Consider the following 21,446-nt stretch of genomic DNA (forward strand, 5'->3'; position numbering starts at 1 on the left):
TAACTATCACAATGTCAATATAGTAAAGCAGCTAACAGAAGATGAGAAGTAGAATGGGAAAAATGAGGGAAATGTAGTGGGTGGTAATTTCTTCATCAACGTAGTAAAGAGTCGAGAAATATTGTCTATAACTGATGGATTAAAAAACAGAAGTTTAGGCCGAGCGAGGTGGCTCACGCCTGTAATCCCAGCACTTTGGGAAGCCGAGGTGGGGGGATCACAAGGTCAGGAGTTCGAGACTAGCCTGACCAACGTAGGGAAACCCTGTTGGTGAAACCCCTCTACTAAAACTACAAAAATTAGCTGGGTGTAGTGGCGTGTGCCTGTAATCTCAGCTACTCAGGAGGCTGAGGCAGGAGAATCACTTGAACCCAGGAGGCACAGGTTGCAGTGAGCCAAGACCGCGCCATTGCACTCTAGCCTGGGCGACAGAGAGAGACTATGTCTCAGAAAAAAAAAAAATAATAATAATAATAATAGAGGTTTAAGTATATTGTTTAATTTTAAAAGATAAATACTAACAGAACTAAAAAAACATAACAAAAATGAGGAGTGGTTAAATGAGCTAAATTTCTCATTTGTTTTATATCAAGGAGTTAGTAAAGTTGTTAAGTTAATAAAAGAGGTGTGATTTTTTTTTTTTTTTTTAAAGATGGGCTTGCGCTCTGTCGCCCAGGATGGAGTGCAGTGGCACAATCTTGGCTCACTGCAACCTCCGCCTCCCGGGTTCAAGCAATTCTCCTGCCTCAGCCTCCTGAGTAGCTGGGTTTACAGGCACGTGCCACCAGGCCCAGCTAATTTTTGTATTTTTAGTAGAGACAGGGCTTCATCATGTTAGCCAGGTTGGTCTCGAACTCCTGACCTCAGGTGATCCACCCATCTTAGCCTCCCAAAGTGCTGGGATTACAGGTGTGAGCCATTGCGGCCAGGCTGCTTTCTACCATTTTTTTAGTTTTTAAAACTTCTCAACTATAAAAATATTTCAGCCAGGTGCGGTGGCTCACGCCTGTACTTTGGGAGGCCGAGGTGAATGGATCACCTGTGGTCAAGAGTTCAAGACTAGCCTGGCCAACATGGTGAAACCCTATCTCTACTAAAAATACACAAAATTAGCCAGCCGTGGTAGCATATGCCTGTAATCTCAACTACTTGGGAGACTGAGGCCGGAGAATCACTTGAACCCAGTAGGCGGAGGCTGCAGTGAGCCAAGATTACGCCACTGCACTCCAGCTTGGGTGACAGAGTGAGACTCTGTCTCAAAAAAAAAAAAAAAAAGTGAGAGCTTTTAAAATAAAGGGTGCAGGTCAAAGGGTACAGGATTACACTGTATGAAGAAAGAGGGGTAAAATGTAATTTTAAAAAATTAGTCACTATAAAAATGGAGTTATCTATAATAGAAAATGACTGCTTATCCTGAAAACAAACCAAGAGAAGCTCCAACTATAGCAGACTTAGGAGAACTATGGAGGAAAATATCCCACTCCTGGAGCAGAGAGACTAACAGAGACACTGGAGAATCTTATTTCCCAGGGATTTTTCAGAGGACAGCAAAAATCTATGTTTTGATTTCTTGACGAGGTAGAATGCTATCAAGAGGCGGAGCTATGATCTTTCAAAACTCCATATAATTTCATTTATAACCGCACGCACTCTGTTTCAATAAAGAGCAGACTACAATTCTTGAAACTAATAGAGTCCTCTCTTGAGGTCTGCACTGTAGCATATTAGTTAAAAAGAAAAACCTTTTGCCTTTTATCATTTACATATCTTCTATATTTCTTAAGACCTAACTTTAAAAAGGGAGGTACAATACATTCAAGTTACGCCTATAAACATAAAATCATAACCTCTGGTTCCATTGATTCTTACAAGGTTAACAGGCATATTTGCCTTCTTATTACTACTTTTGTTCTTCTAATGTATTATTTATTTATTAATTTGTAAAACAATGCTATCGCATCTAAGTGCTATACAAAGTTAAAAACATATAAATTATTTAAATCCACCAATGAAAAAAAATTTAAAGAGAGAAAAAGATGTTGGTAATTTAATGCAAAGCTACTAGAAGAGGATCTAATGAGTGAACAAGACTTTGAAATCAAAAAAGTCCCCATTTAACTAAATACAAAATGAATATGACACCTACCTGGTCAACAGTTAGTCAATCAGCTCTTGTTAAAAACCCACACTGGGCCGGGCACTGTGGCTCATGCCTGTAATCCCAGCACTATGGGAGGCCAAGGTGGGCGGATCACCTGAGGTCAGGAGTTCAAGACTGGCCTGGCCAACATGGTGAAACCCTGTCTCTACTAAAAATACAAAATACAAAAATTAGCTTGGCGCAGTGGCACACACCTGTAATCCCAGCTACTCAGGAGTCTGAGGCAGAAGAATCACCTGAACCTGGGAGGCGGAGGTTCCAGTGAGCCGAGCTCATGCCACTGCACTCCAGCCTGAGCGACAGAGTGAGACTCTGTCTCAAACAACAACAACAACAACAACAACAACAAAACACCCACATTGTATAGCACCTTTGTGTTAGTCCGTTTTCATACTAGTATAAAGAAATATCCAAGACTGAGTAACTGATAAACAAAGAGCTTTAATTGACTCACACTTCCATATGGCTGGAGAGGCCTCAGGAAACTTACAATCATGGCAGAAGGCGAAGGTTAGGCAAGCACCTTTTTCAGAAGGCAGCAGGAGAGAGAAGAGTGAAGAACTTCCAAACACTTCTAACACCATCAGATCCCATGAGAACTCACTCACTATCACAAGGACAGCATGGGGGAAACTGCCCCCATGATCCAGTCACCTCCCTCAACACATGGGGATTACAGGTCCCTCCCTCAACATGTGGGGATTATAATTCAAGATCAGATTTGGGTGGGGACACAGAGCCAAACCATGTCAACCTTTAACAGAGGGACATAAAAGAGAAGAGGAATCCAGTTTACAACAATAAATGACAAAAGAGACCTGTGGTGGGTAAGACATGTACAAGATGACAAGCTTTGAGGAAGTACAAGGTCTGGTCTGGGAGCTGTGGACCCAATAAGCAAAGACTCTGGAAAGACAAATGCATAGTTGTTCATGGGCCGTGGAGGCCCTCGTATTGTATAAAAAGGGTTCCAGGAGCTTGGGATAAATTAACCACTTTGTTTCCCCCTTTTCATCATCTAGCTCGGTACAGTCCTCTTTAGCAGTGTTTTGAGTCCTAAGAGGCAATATGGTATAGTGGCAAGAAGCTGGATTTAAATCTCAGCTCTGCTTCTGGAAGAAGAGGCTGAGATGGTAACAAGATCTGTGCTCCACTGGGAAGTGGCTACCCAACCAGGAACTGACTACATTTCCCAGCCATAGTAGCATCTAGTATGTCAATGTGACTAGTTCATCTCAGTGGCATGTGAGTGGAAGGCATGTATGCTACCCCTAGAGCAAGGCTTTTCAGAACTAGGTGTACCTTCTCTGTTCTTTCTCCTGCCAGCTAAATGTGGCTGATGCTGAGGAGGACCTAGATGGCAGAACAACAAGAAAGAAGCTGCCTCGGTTCCTGTCACTTCTGGGAAAATCACTTAACTAGGAACACACACACTGACTGTCCCATGACTGAGAAATAAACTGTTGTATTAAGCCACGGAAATACTGAAGCTTATTTGTTACAGTAGCAAGAGTTAACCTAACCAATATATATATGCTGATAATTACTACAATAATAATGGTGATGGTGTCAGACATTGCATCAAACAAGCCATCATTAATACTGTTAAGAAATCTTGGCCCAGCCTAGGCAATATGGTGAGGTGCTGTCTCTACAAAAACAAACAAACAAACAAACAAACAAAAAAAAACAATTAGCTGGGCACAGTGGCATGCAGCTATAGTCCCAGCTGCCTGGGAGACTGAGGTGGGAAGATCACTTGAGCCCAGGAATTTGAGGTTACAGTAAGCCTTGATTGCACCACTGCACTCCAGTCTGGGCAACAGAGTGAGACCCTGCCCCCACCCCAAGTAAGCACATGAAAAGATGCTCAACATCATTAGCCATGAGGGAAATGCACATGAAAACCATAATGATATGCTACTTCGTCCCTACTAGGATGGCTATGGTCAAAAAGATGGGCAATAGCAAGTGCTTGTGAGAATGTGGAAAAATTAGAACCCTCAGCCATTGCTGGTGGGAATGTAAAATGGTGCAGCTGCTGTGAAAAATTTTGGCAGTTCCTCAAAAAGTTAAACGCAGAGTTATCCGATGACCCAGCAATTCTACTCTCAGATATATACCCAAAGGAATTGAAAATATATGTTCACATAAAAACTTGTACAGGAATGTTCATAGCAGCATTATTCATGATAGCCAAGAAGTGGAAACAACTCAAATGTCTATCAACTGAAGAATGGATAAACAAATGTGGTATATGCACACAATGGAATACTATTCAGCCATAAAAAATGAAATTCAGATATATGCTACAACACGGATGAACCTTGAAAACACTATGCTAAGTGAAAGAAGCAAGGAACAAAAGGTCACATACTATATGATTCCATTTATATGAAATGTCCAGAGTATGCAAATCCATAAAGAAAAGACAGAAAGTAGATTATTGGATGCTGGGGCTGGGAGAGTTGGAGGGAAATGGGGAGTGACTGCTAATGGGGAAGATGTTTCTTTTTGGGGTGATGAAAATGTTCTGGAATATTAGAAAGCAGTGATGGTTGCACAATACTGTGACTATACTAAAAACCACTCAATTGTACACTGTAAAAGTGTAAATTTTATGGTATGTGAATTATATATCAATTTTAAAAAGAAAAATAAAAAGAGAAACGCATTTGCTCCACCTTGCCTCTTAGAGATTCTGGCTCTACACAAAGAGGTACTGATCTCTTTTCATGTACCATGATGCTAGGCTGCTCAGAACCCACAGACTCCTTCCTCCTATCTTCTGCTGCAAGCAGACAAGTCTAAACAGCCCCAGTGCCATATGCATTAAATGCCTCTGTTTGCATGTGGAGAAATAAGGTACAAGGCTTTCCTTAGTTTGAGTAACAGCATAGTTAACGAGATGAGATAAATAAATATTGACGCTAGCCCTGAGAATGCTATGAGTGTGGGGAATAGGATAGAGCCCCATAATAACTACTGAAGTATGTATTGCTTCAGCAAAGTTCTCTAAGGAAGAAAACAATCCTAAAAAATGTTCTCACTCATAGGTGGGAATTGAACAATGAGAACACTTGGACATACGGTGGGGAACATCACACACACTGGGGCCTGTCGTGGGGTTGGGGGGGTAGGAGAGGGATAGCATTAAGAGAAATACCTAATGTAAATGATGAGCTGATGGGTGCAGCAAACCAACATGGCACATGTATACCTATGTATCAAACCTGCATATTGTGCACATGTACCCTAGAACTTAAAAGTGTTAAAAAAAAAAAGTAGTGTGGGGTATGGTGGGCATGGCGGGGTGGGGGGTCTGAGAGAGGATTGCATAAGGAAAGTTTTTTCGCTATTTAGGCACTCATGTCATTTTCAAAAGTGTGAGTCAAATTCACACCACAGAATAGAGAAACCCTGTTTGGTGACATCAAGTAAATTTCATATAAGTATTTAATAGTCAAAACTGAAGAGAAGATCACTGGAGTGTGTTTTCCACCTCCAAATAAGAATGTAATTTGGCGATTCTATGAATTTTCTTTTGAGCCTCCCAATCCACTGGGAAGACTGTCTTTTCAATAGGAATAAATTCCTGAAAAGACACAACTTACTTGCAGGAGACTTTAGTTCTGTCAGCAACCATGGTCCACTGTTGCTGGTTGGTAGAAACCTCAACGTAGTAGCTATAGCTTCGATCATCACAATCCCAAAGTAGTAACCTGAACAAAGGGAAAAACATAAGATTGCTGTAAATGTTTTAACTGGTTGTTTCTTTAGGTTGTGGGCATATCCCTCCCACCCACCTCCTTTGTTCAGCACATTTCTAGGACTGGACAAAGAAGGTGAATCCCAAAAAAGTATGAAGAGAACAGGCAGAGTCAGTCTGCAGTGAGAGGCTTTTTATCTTTAGTTCTTTTCACAAGTCCCCCAATCCCAGGCAGGCTCTGCCCCACTGGTGGCAAAGTTCTTTATACTGGTTTAGTAGAGAGATGTCCCCAGATCACCTTTCCAGCTTCTTCTAGCTCTCCTCTCCAGTTGGCTCGGCTGACCACTGCTCATGGGAGAAACTGTAATTTCGAGTTGATTTTTATTTTTATTTTTAGAGACAAGGTGTTTCTCTGTCACCCTGGCTGGAGTGCAGTGGTGTGATCAGTGGAGTAATCACTTGTGTAAACAGTGGAGGCTCACTGTAGCCTCCAACTCCTAGGCTCAAGTGATCCTCCCACCTCAGCCTCCTGAGTAGCTGGGACTATAGTTGCACACTTCTTTTTTTTTTTTTTTTTTTTGGTAGAGGCACAGTCTCACTATGTTGCCCAGGCAGGTCCTGAACTCCTGGCTTCAAGTATCCTCCTACCTTTGCCTCCCAAAGTGTTGAGATTATAGGTGCGAGCCACCGTGCCCAGCCTAATTGATTTTTTATTTTTAGAGCAAATTTTCACCCTGCTGCCCAGACTGGACTGCAGGGATATGATCATAGCTCATTGCAGCCTCCAACTCCTGGGCTCAAGTGATCCTTCTACCTCAGCCTCCCAAGTAGTTACAGGCATGCACCACCATGCCTGGCTATTTTTAAATTTTATGTAGAGTCAGGGTCTCGCTATGTTGCCCAGGCTGGTCTCAAACTTCTAGCCTCAAGTGATCCTCCCACCTCAGCCTCCCAAAGTGCCAGGATTACAGGTGTGAGCCGCTGTGCTGGTCTAATTGATATTTCTTATAGTATTCTCTAATTGATGATAACCCCATCACCTTTATTATCGTGTTTTAGTTTCCTTCTTATTCTCACCAGGATTTTTACATAGCTGTAGTAGGATTATCTGATTTGGAGATATAGGCAAATATACATTCATTTGCAAAACTTTCATTATTTAGAAATTGATTACCTTGGTCCTGTTCTTATCCCCCTTTTCTGCCCAGATAAGAACTTAAGCATTAACTGTGTAATTCCATTTACATGAAGCTCAAAGCAGACAATTTATCTGTTGGTGACAGGAATCAGAACAGTGGTTAGTTCTGGGGGAGGTATCGACTAGGAAAGGGTAAAAGGGAACTTTCTAGAATACTGGAAAAGTGCTATTTTTGATCTGAGTGGTAGTTACACGGGCATAAATGCATGTAAATAATCACTGAGCTATACATAAAAGATCTGTTCACTCTGTGTGTGTTATTCCTCCATTAAAAAAAAAATATATATGTATATATATATTTTGAGATGGAGTCTCACTCTGTCTCCTGGGCTGGAGTGTAATGGCGCGATCTCGGCTCATTGCAACCTCCGCCTCCCGGGTTCAAGTGATTCTCCTGCCTCACCCTCCCGAGTAGCTGGGATTACAGGCATCTGCCACCATGCCCAGCTAATTTTTGTAGTTTTAGTAGAGATGGGGTATCACCAAGTTGGCCAGGCTGGTCTCGAACTCCTGACCTCAGGTGATCCACCTGCCTCAGCCTCCCAAAGTGTTGGGATTACAGGCATGAGCCACTGCGGCCGGCCTAAAAAATAATTTTAAAAAATAATCTGAGCATTGCAGTACAGGATTAGTGTTTTGCTTCTGACAGTGCCACAGGGGAGACAGATATTGTTTTGTATTATTTCAACCTTAAAAGTCCTTCCCATACAAACTATGTGTTTTACTGCTTTATAGTTGGTCATATGTGTTTGCTTCTTCTACCAGCTGGCATAGATAGTGAGCTCCTTGAAGGCAGTGTCTACGTCTTACTGATTTTTTCTATACCATTCACATAATGTCTCACATGGAGCTTAAACTCAGTCAGTGCTTGCTGAGCAAATCTATTCTTTGTAACTACAGCAATAATGGCCGGGCGCAGTGGCTCACGCCTGTAATCCCAGCACTTTGGGAGGCCAAGGCGGGTGGATCATGAGATCTGGAGATTGAGACCATCCTGGCTAACACAGTGAAACGCCGTCTCTACTAAAAATACAAAAAATTAGCCAGGCGTGGTGGTGGGCACCTGTAATCCCAGCTACTCGGGAGGCTGAGGCAGGAGAATCGCTTGAATCCAGGAGGCGGAGCTTGCAGTGAGCTGAGATCATACCACTGCACTCTGGCCCAGGCCACAGCGCGAGATTCTGTCTCAAAAAAACAAAAAACAAAAAACAATCAATAATAATGATCATGATGGCCAACATTTCTTTAATGTTAACTGTGTATTAGGCCCTATGTTAAGTGCTCTGTACAATTCGTCTTATTAAAATCCTTCTAAATATCCTCTTAGCAAGCACTATTATTATGAAATTACAGATATTGAAAGTGTGAGGATTAAAGCATGTTAAGTAACTTGTCTAAACTCATACAGTAACTAAGTGATGGAAATGATACAAGGTTCTAACCTGGTACCTTCACCAAAAGCCCATTTCTGTAATCCCACTGCCAAATGTTTCCATTACTCTCAGTTTACATATCTGGTTCACAATTTACAACCTCTAACCTATCACTCTATAAAAGTAGCTTGTATTATTTTCCCTTAATCTTATGATTATAATCAGTGAAAATCCTTTGCACAAGTTCAGTTTAGTATCACATATAAAGCTATTACTGAGGACTAGGATTGCCTGTGTTTTCCGTTTTCCTTCACCGTTACCTTTTTTGTTGTTGGGGAAGGTTGGGAGGACAGCTTCTCTCTCTGTTGCCCAGGCTGGAGTGCAGTGGTGCAATCATAGCTCACTGCAGCCTCAAACTCCTGGGCTAAAGCAATCCTCCTGCCTTAGCCTCCCAAGTAGCTGGGATTACAGGCACACACTACCACACCCAGCTAATTAAAAAACAAACAAACAAAAGATTATTTTGTAGAGATAGGGTCTCACTGTGTTGGCCAGGCGGGGTCAAACTCCTGGCCTCAAGCTACCCTCTCGCCTGGCCTCCTAAAGGGCTCGCCTTCCCTTTCATTCCTTATTTTCTATTGTAATTCTGTTTGCTATCAATTACTAAACCCATGCTACCTAATATTTTTGAACTCATCTTTTAAGTAGAGAAAACTGTTAAATGGGTTTGGAAAGCATTAGTAGATGATACCTACTGATTCTCTTTAATACGCCTGAGTGTTTAATCTCTCCAAGTACCCTGAATGAATCAGAAAGGATTCCACTCTGTTGTTCTTAAGTGGCCCAAAATTCTACTCTTAGATTACACTAATTTTCTTATAAGAACGTGAATCATTTCCTTCATTAGTCATTTCCTCAAATATTATCCTAGTCTGTAAGCACTTTTATGCAGTCAGCCTATGCTAATTTATATTTATTTTGAGTAACTTTTAAAAGTGTATTTTTTGCTCCTATGTTTGTCTGGTTCTTATTTTGATTATAAGAACTTTAGAAAGATGTTTGGTCTTTCTCTTTTTAAAAACTCTGCTTCAAACATGTAGGCTCTGTTCATGGCATATGTTCCATATATGTTCTGGATTGAAATCATTCGTAACTCTGACACAGTAGAGTAAAACTAGGGGAAAACTTCAAATCAATTAATCATTCTCTTCATTTAACAGTTCTGTTACCATAACTGTTGTTGGAAGATAATGTTGAGGTTATTTTCCCCAGTGGGATTTTTAATTATTTATGGAGAGCTAGGTTTATCATATTCCCTATCCTTCTAGATAATCATAAGCTAGTGTTTCTACAGAGGACTGAAATGAAAATGGTCAGTCCGTTTTGGGATAGAACCTAACCACATCTCAAAACATTTCATGGAAAATGACAGCCTTGAAGAGGATATGGGATATGGAGAAGATAAAAAAAAGAAGGATAAATTATGAGTATCATATATGTTCTAGTAGATATTCTTGGAGTGATAACATATTTGAGGAAAATTTTAAGTTGTATATATCATGCTCTGTAAGTAGCTTATTCTATAAAAGTCCTCCAATTTGTTTCAAGGCAAATTATTATCTTAAAATGAAGGTAATCTGAAATTCCAGTAACTTTTAAAACATATACACACAGTGCATATGGTTTGTAACTTGCTACTTTTGCTTAATGGTCTATTATGAATATCTTTTTGTAACATCAAATATTCTTCTACATCATATGTACTGACTTCATAGTATTTCACTGTATGGATGTCTCATACTTTATTTAATCAATCTATTATTATCTGACACTTAAGTAGTTAATATTTCACTGTTATGAAAATTCTTTTTTTTTTCTTTGGAAACAGGGTTTTGCTTTGTTGCCCAGGCTGCAGAATGCAGTGGCACAATCATAGCTCACTGCAGCCTCAATTTCCTGGACTCAAGTGATCCTCCTGCCTCAGCTTCCTGAGTAGCTAGGACTACAGGTGCACACCACCACGCCCAGCTGATATTTTTTTTTTTTTAATTTTGTTGCCTAGGCTAGTCTCCAACTCCTGGCCTTAAGCAATCCCTCCACCTCAGCTTCTCAAAGTGTTGGGATTAAAAGCATGAGCCACTGAGTCCAGCGTATTATGAAAATTTTGTGATAGACATTCTTAAGCTAAATCTATGATTATTGTCTTTGAATGATTCTGTAAGTGAAACTCCTGGAACAGGGCATATAACATCTTGAGGCTTTGATGTATATCATAAAATAGCTGTATACTTCTATTCCCCCCAACCCCAAGCAAAAATCTATACCAATTTATATTAACACTACCAGCACTGCATAACAAATGCCTGTTTCTGTGCATCATCACCAATATTATATATTATGTTTAAAAATACTGCTAATTTGATAGCTGAAATATCTTATTAATCTGCAATTTTTAACTTATTGAGCTTGAACATTTTACCCATTTTCTACTTATATGTATCTTTTTGTTAATGACTTACAAAATGTCCTCTATATTTAAAGGATATTAATCCACTGCCTATCATAGTTTGCATGCTGAAGGTATTAATTTTTATTAGCCTAGTCTATCGATCTTTACCTCACTAATTTATTCTGGCCTAAATTCTTTTTTTCTGAACAGCAGCCAAGTGCTCATACTGGTTGAGACATCCTCTCTCTAGTCCTCTATTAAGAGTCCCCAGGGACTGGAGATGTGGGGTCATGGTGACTCCTGAGTGGAAAAGGGACACTGACGGATCTCAGGTCATCGAGCCTAGGGCTCAGACTCAACCTACATGTTGAAGTTTTAAAGAGGACTTCTAACTCATGCCTAGGATGCACATTTGCTTGGAATTTAGGCTTAGCCAGGAATTAAACCCCTTTGTTGATTTGACTGAAAAAAGCAACTGCAGCTGAAGAATACTAAAGGAAAAACTGATTCAACCTCTGCTTTTCCATTGAGAGGAATTTTGCTCTACCAATTCCCTTCACTTCTTTGGCTGCCTGCAAAGTGTATTCTTATGTCTTTGTGCCTGCAACAACAGAGAGCTATTTCTGACTTGTAAACTAGCTGGGAATGTTTGCATGGTGAGCTCATCCAGGACAGACACTCTCTATGACCTTAACTGAAATGAGCTCCTTAAACATACACAGCACACTTCCACCCATAGATCAGAAGCCATTTTCAAAAGGGGCTGAATAAAGGAAGTTGCTGGCCAAGATTTATTGATGCAGATCAGGTCGGTGTTTAGCTGTTGCCACAAACCTCTCTAACTAATGAGCACAGCATGAAATGCCTGGTGATATTATATATGTTGTCTCCTCCATCTTCCCTTATTCTCATTGTGCAGTTTCCCTAAAAGCAGTGAAGTGCTGGGCTTTTTTTTTTTTTTAATTGATTAGCAGATGTGATTTTGCTTACATCTTCCATAAATGCTCTGGCTGGCTGCATACCATTGATTACCAGGGGTTCAGTTTACAGCAACTAATTGCTCTCCTTGCTGGTATTTTGATACAAAATTCAATAGCGAATATGTTTTCAAAACTCTTTTCTTTGTGGCTTGAGTCAGAAGTGACTCAATGCAAACCCAGTGGACTGAGGTTTCCAGTCTTTAAAATAGTTGCTCTCTCATCAGTCTGTGAAGAAAGTTTCCAAATTGTAGCATTTTAATTGGAAAGTCTACATTATGCATGCGATGACAAACTATGTTGTGCTGAATGGCACTTTTTTCATCCTTTTCTTAAGGGATTAATACTGTGCCAGATTGTGAACAATGGCTGAAGTATAACAGTTGAGGTCAACAGCTTCTCCACTGAATTGGTGCCTTTTAGACCAGAAGCAAGGGCCTGTTTTGCCTGTTTCTAACTGTCCATCATTTGTGGGAAATTCCACTGGAAGGCCTGGGACCATAATGCCACTGTTGCTAAATTTTCTCATTTGGGTGAAAACCAACTAAAGGAAGATCAGCAACCAGGATATTAGTGACAGTGCAATAACTTATGATCAAATCCATTCCTAATCTTTCAGTTAAAGTGAAAGATACTCCTGATCTCAAAAATGTATACAGTATATTCTTTGGTAAAGATCCTTTAAGTTCTTCAGAAATAATTGTCTTCCATTCAACAATTCAAAAAATATTTACTGAATAACTACTCAGTAACATTAGGCAAGTCACTTTACTTATACTTTGGTTTCATCCTTTGTGACATTAAATGTCGAGATTTGATGGCTTCTCAGCACTCTTCCAGTTCTAACATTTAATATTCTGTTATAGCATATGCAGAGGTTTTTTTGGTATGTCTGTACATTACACAGTAACTCCTGTCTTTGACAACTCTTTCCAGCACAACCTCAAGGTGGACATGGGAGATTCCTGAGCTCAGTTTATCCTCTGGACTTGGAAGCTGCCCAATCCATGCTGGGCTAATCAGATTTCCTTTCTCAAAAATTTAGAATTATGTGAGATTCCAGCCTAACGTGCCCTGTTCACTTAAAATGAGATGATGAAAATACAGGCATTCTGGGGTGAGTCTCTTTGATCACAGGCATACAGAAGCAAAGAAAGATACCTGCAGTGAGAAGCAGAGACCACAGGCTGTGCAGTCCAGGGAGGGCTACCTGGGGTCCCGACAGATTCCAATGTCTGGTTTCAAAACCTACTAGGGCCCTCCGAGTTTCTCCTCTAGTATTCCGTGAGAAATCTTCTAATCACTTAAATAAAGTTACCATTTGCGGCTTAACCTATCTTTACTTGGTTTCTGTTACTTGGAACTAAAAGGGCCAAAGATAAGCTCCTGGTGGAGTGCACTGGACAGAAAAGGTACGCAATAAGAGTAGATGTTATGGCAGTGAGGATAGCAATGATACCGTGATGGCTACAGGACCAGAGAGACAACGAGGTAAAGAGCAGGGGTGGTGGGAAACCTCCCTTATGATGGCAATCTTTTCGTTCAATTATGAAAGAGGATTCTATGTAGAAACGGAGAGCGGTAAGACTGTGGTGTACGGTGGCAAGGCAAAACAGGCTTTGGAGTGGGCTCAGTGGCATCAGTGGAGCTGCAGGGAGAGAGCCTTGCAAAGATGGAACAATCAGTGTAGTTTATAACTCTCCTCAGCGGTGGCACTGGGGAAGCAGGGCCAACAGTGACAAGGAGGATACAGGCCAGGGTCAGAGAACGAAGGGCCAGGAAAAGTAATGACCACCTGTAGGCTTCTGAGGAGGTAAGTGGGATCAGAGATGGTAGACTAATGTTCAGAACAGAGAGAGACTGGAGGTCATGATGCAAAGAACAGATGCGGCAGCTGTAAAGGTGAGGGAGAGAGGTAAGGAGTTGTGGTGACAAAGGGAAACTTCAGCACTTTCACCTAATTCGGAAAAGTCCAGTTCCTGCTCCTCTGGATGAGAAGCAGAAAGACAAACAACACATTAGGGTCCCTATTCTAATCTCTGCTACTGAGGGGCAGGAGGGAGCCTGTAACAGCTTCCAGAAGGAATTAATACAGCTTCAGAGAAACAACTCTGCCGGTGAGAAAGAGGGACTTTCCCAAAGATGAGAGGGCTCCTTATCGTCAGCTGTCACAGGGTTCGATGACGTGGCTTCACCCTCAGGTGGGGAGCAAGGTCCAGCTGAGAAGAGCTGCTGGAGGACGCTGAGTCCAAAATGAGATTCTCAGCGGGAGCCTAGAGCCCAGTAACCATGTTTTCTTAAAAGTGTGTGAAGTAGACCAGGCGGCTGCCCTGCAGATTCCAGACATGAGAACCCCTGAGGTGTTGCCACTGCAGAGGCCTGCCTCTGAATGGGCCACGACCTTTCAGGGCAAAGGGAACACCAGTCTCCTAATAGCAGGAGGAGGGAAAAACTGGCTGCTCATCAGATGGAATGGATTCTGGGGAAATGCATTAGTCAAAGGACATCAGAGAGTCTACCTACTGTCTCATAATGTTTAATCTCTCATATCTGGGACGTGGAGGGTGATTTCTCTAAAAGGGGAAGAAACGATGGCACTGATTAACAATATTCTCTTGCAGGTAGCCAGAGAAAAGGCAAGCAGAAGCTCTCGGGTGTGTGGCATATGTAGTTTCTGTGTTTAGTCAACTGAAGTCCAGGATTACAAAAATGTGAGGAGGTGGCAAGTATACATTTTGGCTCCACTGTGTAGGCTGGCTCATTGAGAAAGGGGGATATTTAAGGAGGGATTTTCTTTCTCATGAAATCTTATATTTGATATAGTATAATTATTTATTTATTTATTTAAAGCCCACATACCATGAGAAATATAGTATAATCTAGGTATGTTATCTGAAAGTGGAAAAATATCAATGGAGAATATGCCTGGAGGATATAACTGTGGAAAGCTGGATGGGGCAAAACTTTCCAAAACTTGGAGACAATACAAAACTACCAATCTTTTTTTTTTTTTTTTTTTAAGACAGGGTCTCAATCTGTTGCCCAGGCTGGAGTTCAGTGGCGTAATCTTGGCTTACTGCAACCTCTGCTCACTGCAACCTCCACCTCCCGGGCTCAAGTGATCCTCCCACCTCAGCCTCCCAAGTAGCTGAGACTACAGGCACTCGCCACCAGGCCTGGCTAATTTTTTGTATTTTTTTGTAGAGAAGGTGATTTGCCATGTTGCCCAGATAGGTCTCAAACTCCTGGGCTCAAGCGACCTGCCTGCCTCAGCCTCCCACAGTGCTGGGCTTACAGGCGTGAGCTACCACACCTGGCTAAAACAACCAACTTTTAACAGCTAACTAAGACCATCTTTTCACTTCTTAGAAAGATTAAGTTTTTAACTTCAAGTTTTAGGTGATAACATAAAAGCTAACACCACATTACCAAATACATGGCTGCAGCTGCAATATTCATTAGATACTGAGTGTGGAATGAATGGTGAACAATTAATCATAGTCCCACCTCACATTCACACAGTCCTCACTAGTTTCAAAATGTTTTTGCATACATTATCACATTTGGAAAAAAAACAATTTATAATCAGCACATTTCCTGCTTTCAACGCAAATCTATTTTCCTAAGTTTCCTGGTTAATTTTCTTACATGGGCTAAACACTGCCCAAGCAATCTTTTACAGATTATTTAATCACTTGACAAACTCTTTTTTTTCTTTTAACAAATAAATTTTGCCCCAGGCTTATGATCTAGACTTCATACTACACAGTCCAATTTAATGAAAATTCTCAGCCAGGCACGGTGGCTCACACCTGTAATCCCAGCACTTTAGGAGGCTGAGGTGGGTGGATCACCCGAGGTCAGGAGTTCAAGACCAGCCTGGGCAACATGGGGAAACCCCATCTCTATTAAAAATACAAAAATTAGCCGGGCGTGGCAGCGTGCACCTGTAATCCCAGTTACTCAGGAGGCTGAGGCAGGAGAATCACTTGGACCCGAGAGAAGGGGGTTGCAGGGAGCCGAGATTGTGCCATTGCATTCCAGCCTGGGCGACAAGAGCAAAACTCAGTCTCAACAAGAAAGAAAGGAAAGAAAGGAAAGAAAGGAAAGAAAGAAAGAAAGAAAGAAAGAAAGAAAGAAAGAAAGAAAGAAAGAAAGAAAGAAAGAAAGAAAGAAAGAAGAAAAAGAAAATTATCTCATTTTATGCTTTCAATGTGGAAATATGATAAAAATTTGTCCAGGCCAAACAGCCCTTGAGAAGAAAAGCATTCTTATATTTTGGAAAGTGACTCTAATACAGCCCCTTCCTTAAGCAAAATGTTGGCATCAAAAATATTGGGAACCCCTCAAATGGTCTTATGATATTTTAAAAGGTGAAGTCACAATATGTTACAGACCTTTTGGGCAGTGACACACTAGGCAGGTATGCAGCTTTTACGGATCTTCCCCCGTGTTTAAATTTGGCATCACCAATTCCCCTCTCCAGCAAGGCCATCTGCCTTGATCCCAGCAGCTTCCTCCTCTTGATGAATATATACAATCAGTGAGATCAGCCTGATTTGGTTCACCGGCAGGATCAGAAAAGGATGTGTGAGAGGCAGAAATGCCGAGGTCCTGCCCAGACGATAGGGCTTAGCTCCCAGGCATCAGGTCCAGCTGGCTTTTAGCTTCATTTGCTAGGAAGGCTATTACGGGCTGTTGTGAATGTAAAAGGCCAGAATCAGTTTCTTCTGTTAATAGCTGAAGGCAATATGCATTTGTGTGAGCTTTTCTGTTCTCTGTCCTCAATTCTATGAAATTATTAGGAGGGCGATAAGAACAGACAGACACATTAAAGAGCTCAAAATGTACTAATCTACAGCTGAGTGTTAAGAATTCTTGGATTTTTACTTAACATTTATGACTCCTGTGAAACAAAAGGCCCCAGTGTGGGCCTTCATCCAACAGGTAGGGGAGTAGAGTCACCTTGGCTCCAGGTTCCCTGCATAACACCATCCAGTGGCCCCTCCCTTCAGCTTTTTGGACCAAGTCCATTCAGGAGAGCCCACTGGATCATGCTTCTACAGTGCAGGGACCACGCATGGCTAATGACCTTGGTATTTCCCAGCACAATGCCTTACACATCATAAGCTCTACTAAGTTAAACCGAAGGAGAGGGGTCGGGCACGGTGGCTCACGCCTGTAATCCCAGCACTTTGAGAGGCCAAGGTGGGTGGATCACGAGGTCAGGAGATCGAAACCATCTCTGCCTAACATGGTGAAACCCCGTCTCTACTAAAAATACAAAAAATTAGCTGGGCGAGGTGGCAGGCGCCTGTAGTCCCAGCTACTCGGGAGGCTGAGGGAGGAGAATGGTGTGAACCCAGGAAGCAGAGCTTGCAGTGAGCCGAGATCGCACCACTGCACTCCAGCCTGGGTGACAGAGCGAGACTCCGTCTCAAAAAACAAAACAAAACAAAACAAAAACCGAAGGAGAAATGAGGAGCAGAAGAGGCGAATTATGATGGAAAGAGGTGAGGCAACTATAGATACATCACTCCTCTCAAAAAACCTGGGTCACTTATTCCTGTACAATATCTTCAGTGTTCTATAGAATGAATTATGTTTCAATGCAAAAACAACCTCCCCCAGCCAGTACTTCACCCCTAGCCCCAACACCATTTTGGAGAGTCTCACATAAGTGATAATTTATGAAAAATATCCATTCTGACTGCTATTTCATCCACTGAGCTTATTCTCCTGCCCATCCGCTGAACACATGCTAATAGGTGCCCACACGCACAGCCTACAATGCACCAAGAAGCAGCGCCAAAGAGAAATTTAATAAGTGCCATGGCTCCTCCCTGTTCCCTTGGATCAAGTTTTCAGAAGAATCCGTATCTGTGGGAGAACTCACAATTTAGCTACATGCAGATCTTTGTATTCTCTTGACCTGGTGATAAAGGGAAAGAACAGAAGGGCAAAACAGGTGGGAAGGCTCAACTCTGAATATTACAGTCAGGAGGATGTTCCAGCAGGGATGAACGACCGGCAAAACTCTTCCTGTTCAATCACGTAATCTCTCTATTTTTGTTCTTACCAAATCTCTTCTCTGGTCTCTCTTAACACAACCAGTACTATTTTCCCACACCTCTTTCTCTTTCTTCTCAGACTGACCTTTTCACCCAAATCAGATCTGGGTTTCAACCTTTGCTCCAGCTTTTAAATCATCTTCTTTTCCCCACAGAGCACAATCTACAAAGTCTTGAGCTCTTGCTAGAAATGATTTTAAAACACTTGCCTATCCAATTCAGACCTCCTTCAGACTTACTACCAGCGTGAGCTGCGACTCGTTCCTCCTTCAGGTTCTCCCTTGGCGAACTTACTACTGCCCCTCTCCCACTGCATTCCCAAATCTGTTTATTCCGGTGGGCCATGGACAATGAAATGCTGTCTCTCTATCTACTTGTCCTGGAATTTCCTCCCTGTTAGTCCCTCCTCTAATGGACTTCTTTCATGAAATAGTTAGTGAAGGCTCTCACATGAAAACAACTACCCTCTAAAACACAAAACAAAACTATAATAAGTTGCAAGTGCTATACAATTTAAACACTTAGAATAAGTACATTTTTCTGTTTGAAAGCTGAGGTGTCTGATAAATCATAATTCTCTATGTGGTACATGACTTACCATTAAAAAAGAGAACATTAATGAGAAAAATAATAGCAACATCTCCACCAGTATATAAAGGTGAAAATCCTAACTACCAACTATAAATTCTTATAAACAAAAGATAATTAATCAATTTAATATGTAACTGTGTGATAAATCTTTTGAAGAATGGTGAGAAGCCAGAAAAATAAAGCAACATTTTATGTATTTTTTTTTTGTAGCAGCTAGAGGAAAAAATGGCTCATTAAGTTTTTCAGTGCAATTCTTTTGATCACTGGCCACTCAGTATAGTTTTCTTGATCCAGGTCTTCAAAGCTGGGATCACAAGTTTTAATTCAAACGTTTTCAGCTGAACATTAATAACGCTGGCTTTCCTAACTGCTAAACAGCTGTAATTAAACCAAACTGGTGTGGGTCATAGGACCAAAGGCTAAATGGGCAGTTGCTTTTTTTTTTTCCCTGCGATCACCTATACTGAACAGGAGGCCCAGGCAAAGGCTCTGCAAAGGGAGGGTTTGCAGTTCTCCCCACTGCTGCAGAAGATGTGAGGATGTTGTTTCTGTCTCATGAATACTCCCCAGAACTGCAGAGTAGCTTCCCTTCTTCCACATTTGTTTGGTTGAGGGAACATCAGACAGGAAAAGCATTCCCTCTTTGGAATGTATTCTGCAAGAATTGCCTTTCTAGAAATAACCCTCCCAGGTGCCGACATGAATATTCACCAGAGTGTACTGGGCACAGAGGCCAGTCTCCGTGCCATGTACACTAATCCTTCAAAATGTATTCCAGGCAAGCTACCAGGGTAAACCGTACAGAAACCAGGCTTTCCGGTGATAGACACTGGATGACTGAGAGAAGGAAATCTGAGTGATGGAAGCAGAGATGAATAAATCACTCCTATCTAGCTAAGGCCCTGCTGCAGCTAGACCTTGCGACATTGACTCAAGCACAGCATGAGGCTTCATTAGAATATTGCACTCTGCAAATTAAACTGTTTCTTTTGTTCAGCCGGCTCACTCTTCCTCATCAAGAACAAACATTTATGTCCTCTATGCCTTATAATCCTTTTTGCTGGACCCCTTTTAACTTTCTTCTTATTTTGGCTGATAGGACCTACATGGGCATCCTGAGAACACGGTCCTCGTGCCATGCAGCCATCCAATGCACATGCAAGCTTACCCCCCACCCCCCACTACCCCTCTGCATCACTGCCCTGACTCCCATTCAGGAAGGTAGAGACAAAAAAGATCAGGAATTTTCACAAGCCAGGAAAGAAATCATGCCAAAGGTGGGTGAGATCTCAGATTTCTCAGGATCCTCCCACTCTGGCACTGAATCCCCAAGAGCCAGCATTGATATTCCTGTGGTGGGGCAGAAGAGGACCCCAGCCTATCTGAGTCACACATGAGAGTGTTTGGGTGTCAGGGGCTGGGAAATATCCCTGAGGTAACCTCCAAGGCGCTGGTGCTGGAACTGTGTACAAAGGATACATATGAATAGCCTGGGGGAAATGAGGAGCTTGGAGGCTCCTAGCAGCCAAAAGGAAGAGGTAGCATGAGCAGGTAAAAGGAAAACAGTGAAGTTACTAGTTATTTCCTTAGCCTATTAGGACCACAAAGGGTTGCAATGACTCTCCTTGGGCCTCTGATGGACACAAGGCTACTGTCCACAATTCCTTGGAATGTGTAATGAATAGCAGTAGTTTCAGATGGGAGGCAGGAGTCCCAACTCTGACTCTGTCTTGCTTCACAACTGTATCCTCTCAGATTTATAATCTGGGAAGTGGGTGGTAGGGGGATAGGGGAAAGGAGGGAGATGGATTTTAATGTACGTGATTTCTGATTCCTTTTTCAAGTCTATTTTTCCCTTTTAATTACAAAGCGATATATGATAAATCTTTGGCACTTTTATAAAGTATCCATTATAAAGAGGCATTATACAACTTGCAAAGAAATATAAACCAATATTTAAAAAAATATTCTTTAGCAGCAGAATCTCTTTTACAAACAACATCTTGGCAGAATCTCAGTATCTAAAACAGATTAAAGTAGAAATGCTCTTCTGAGGTCAGAGTTGGGGAATGAAGCCTCATCCACCAGGACTTCCTGTTGGCCCCTCCTTGTGGCAGCCCACAAGGCTCATTCAATAACAAAACACAGTAGGAAAAACCCAGTGGTCATGGTATTATATATTGTCCCCAAACTAAATGCTGATTTTAATATTCCTATCTTTCAATAACAGGATTATTATTATTATTCACATTTTTTTGAAACCATGAGGGGCAAATGAACTTCCCTAACACTTCACTTTTACCTGTATGGGCCAGAAATGTTAGTGAGGAAAGGAACTGAATGGATTAGGCATTGGTAAGCCATGGCCTGTGGATGCCTATTTTTGTAAATAAAGTTTTATTGGAACACAGCCATGCCCCTCAGCAGGGTCGAATAGTTGCACCACAGAGACTGTATGGCCTGCAAAACCTAAAATATCTACTACTTGTCCTTTTATGGAAAAACTTTACCAACCCCAGGCATAGACAGAAAACTAAAGCTGTTCTATTTGAGCAGTAAAGAGTTATGGCGCCAAGGTAAGAAATAAAGATACAGTTTAAACTAAGGCTGAGCTTAGCCTAGAAATGTCTAAAGTCTCTTTCTTCTGTTGTTTCAAGAGATTTTAATGCAGCAAATTCTACATGGAGCTTTTAGATTGTGCTGTAGTCACAATCTCATTTTTGTTACTGTGACAACTGCAGTGGCAATTCTTGGCTTGCCTTTCACCCTAAATTTCTGGTATTTCTCCTAAAAGAACTACAAAGAAAATGTGGGGGGAGGGGGGGAAGCAGCAGCAGCAGCAGCTCCAATTAAAAATGAAAACCATTTCCATTCCCAAACCCTCGTTACTCCCTGAACTGATCAAGTGCCCAGGAGC

The 21,446-nt window shown here is 41.6% G+C and overlaps 1 protein-coding gene across 7 annotated transcripts in view; it reads right to left on the reverse strand.

Moving 5' to 3' along the window:
* The window catches only part of BTBD9 (BTB domain containing 9), a 471,479-nt gene that overhangs the window by 82,183 nt on the left and 367,850 nt on the right, over window positions 1-21,446 (reverse strand). For all 7 annotated transcript variants that reach the window (NM_001099272.2, XM_047418145.1, XM_047418146.1 and 4 more), the window contains one exon: window positions 5,776-5,883. In NM_001099272.2, the coding sequence (NP_001092742.1) occupies window positions 5,776-5,883 (108 nt within the window). The remainder of the gene's footprint in view (window positions 1-5,775; window positions 5,884-21,446) is intronic.

Source organism: Homo sapiens, chromosome 6 (genome assembly GCF_000001405.40).
Source record: "Homo sapiens chromosome 6, GRCh38.p14 Primary Assembly".
Taxonomy (NCBI): Eukaryota; Metazoa; Chordata; class Mammalia; order Primates; family Hominidae; genus Homo; species Homo sapiens.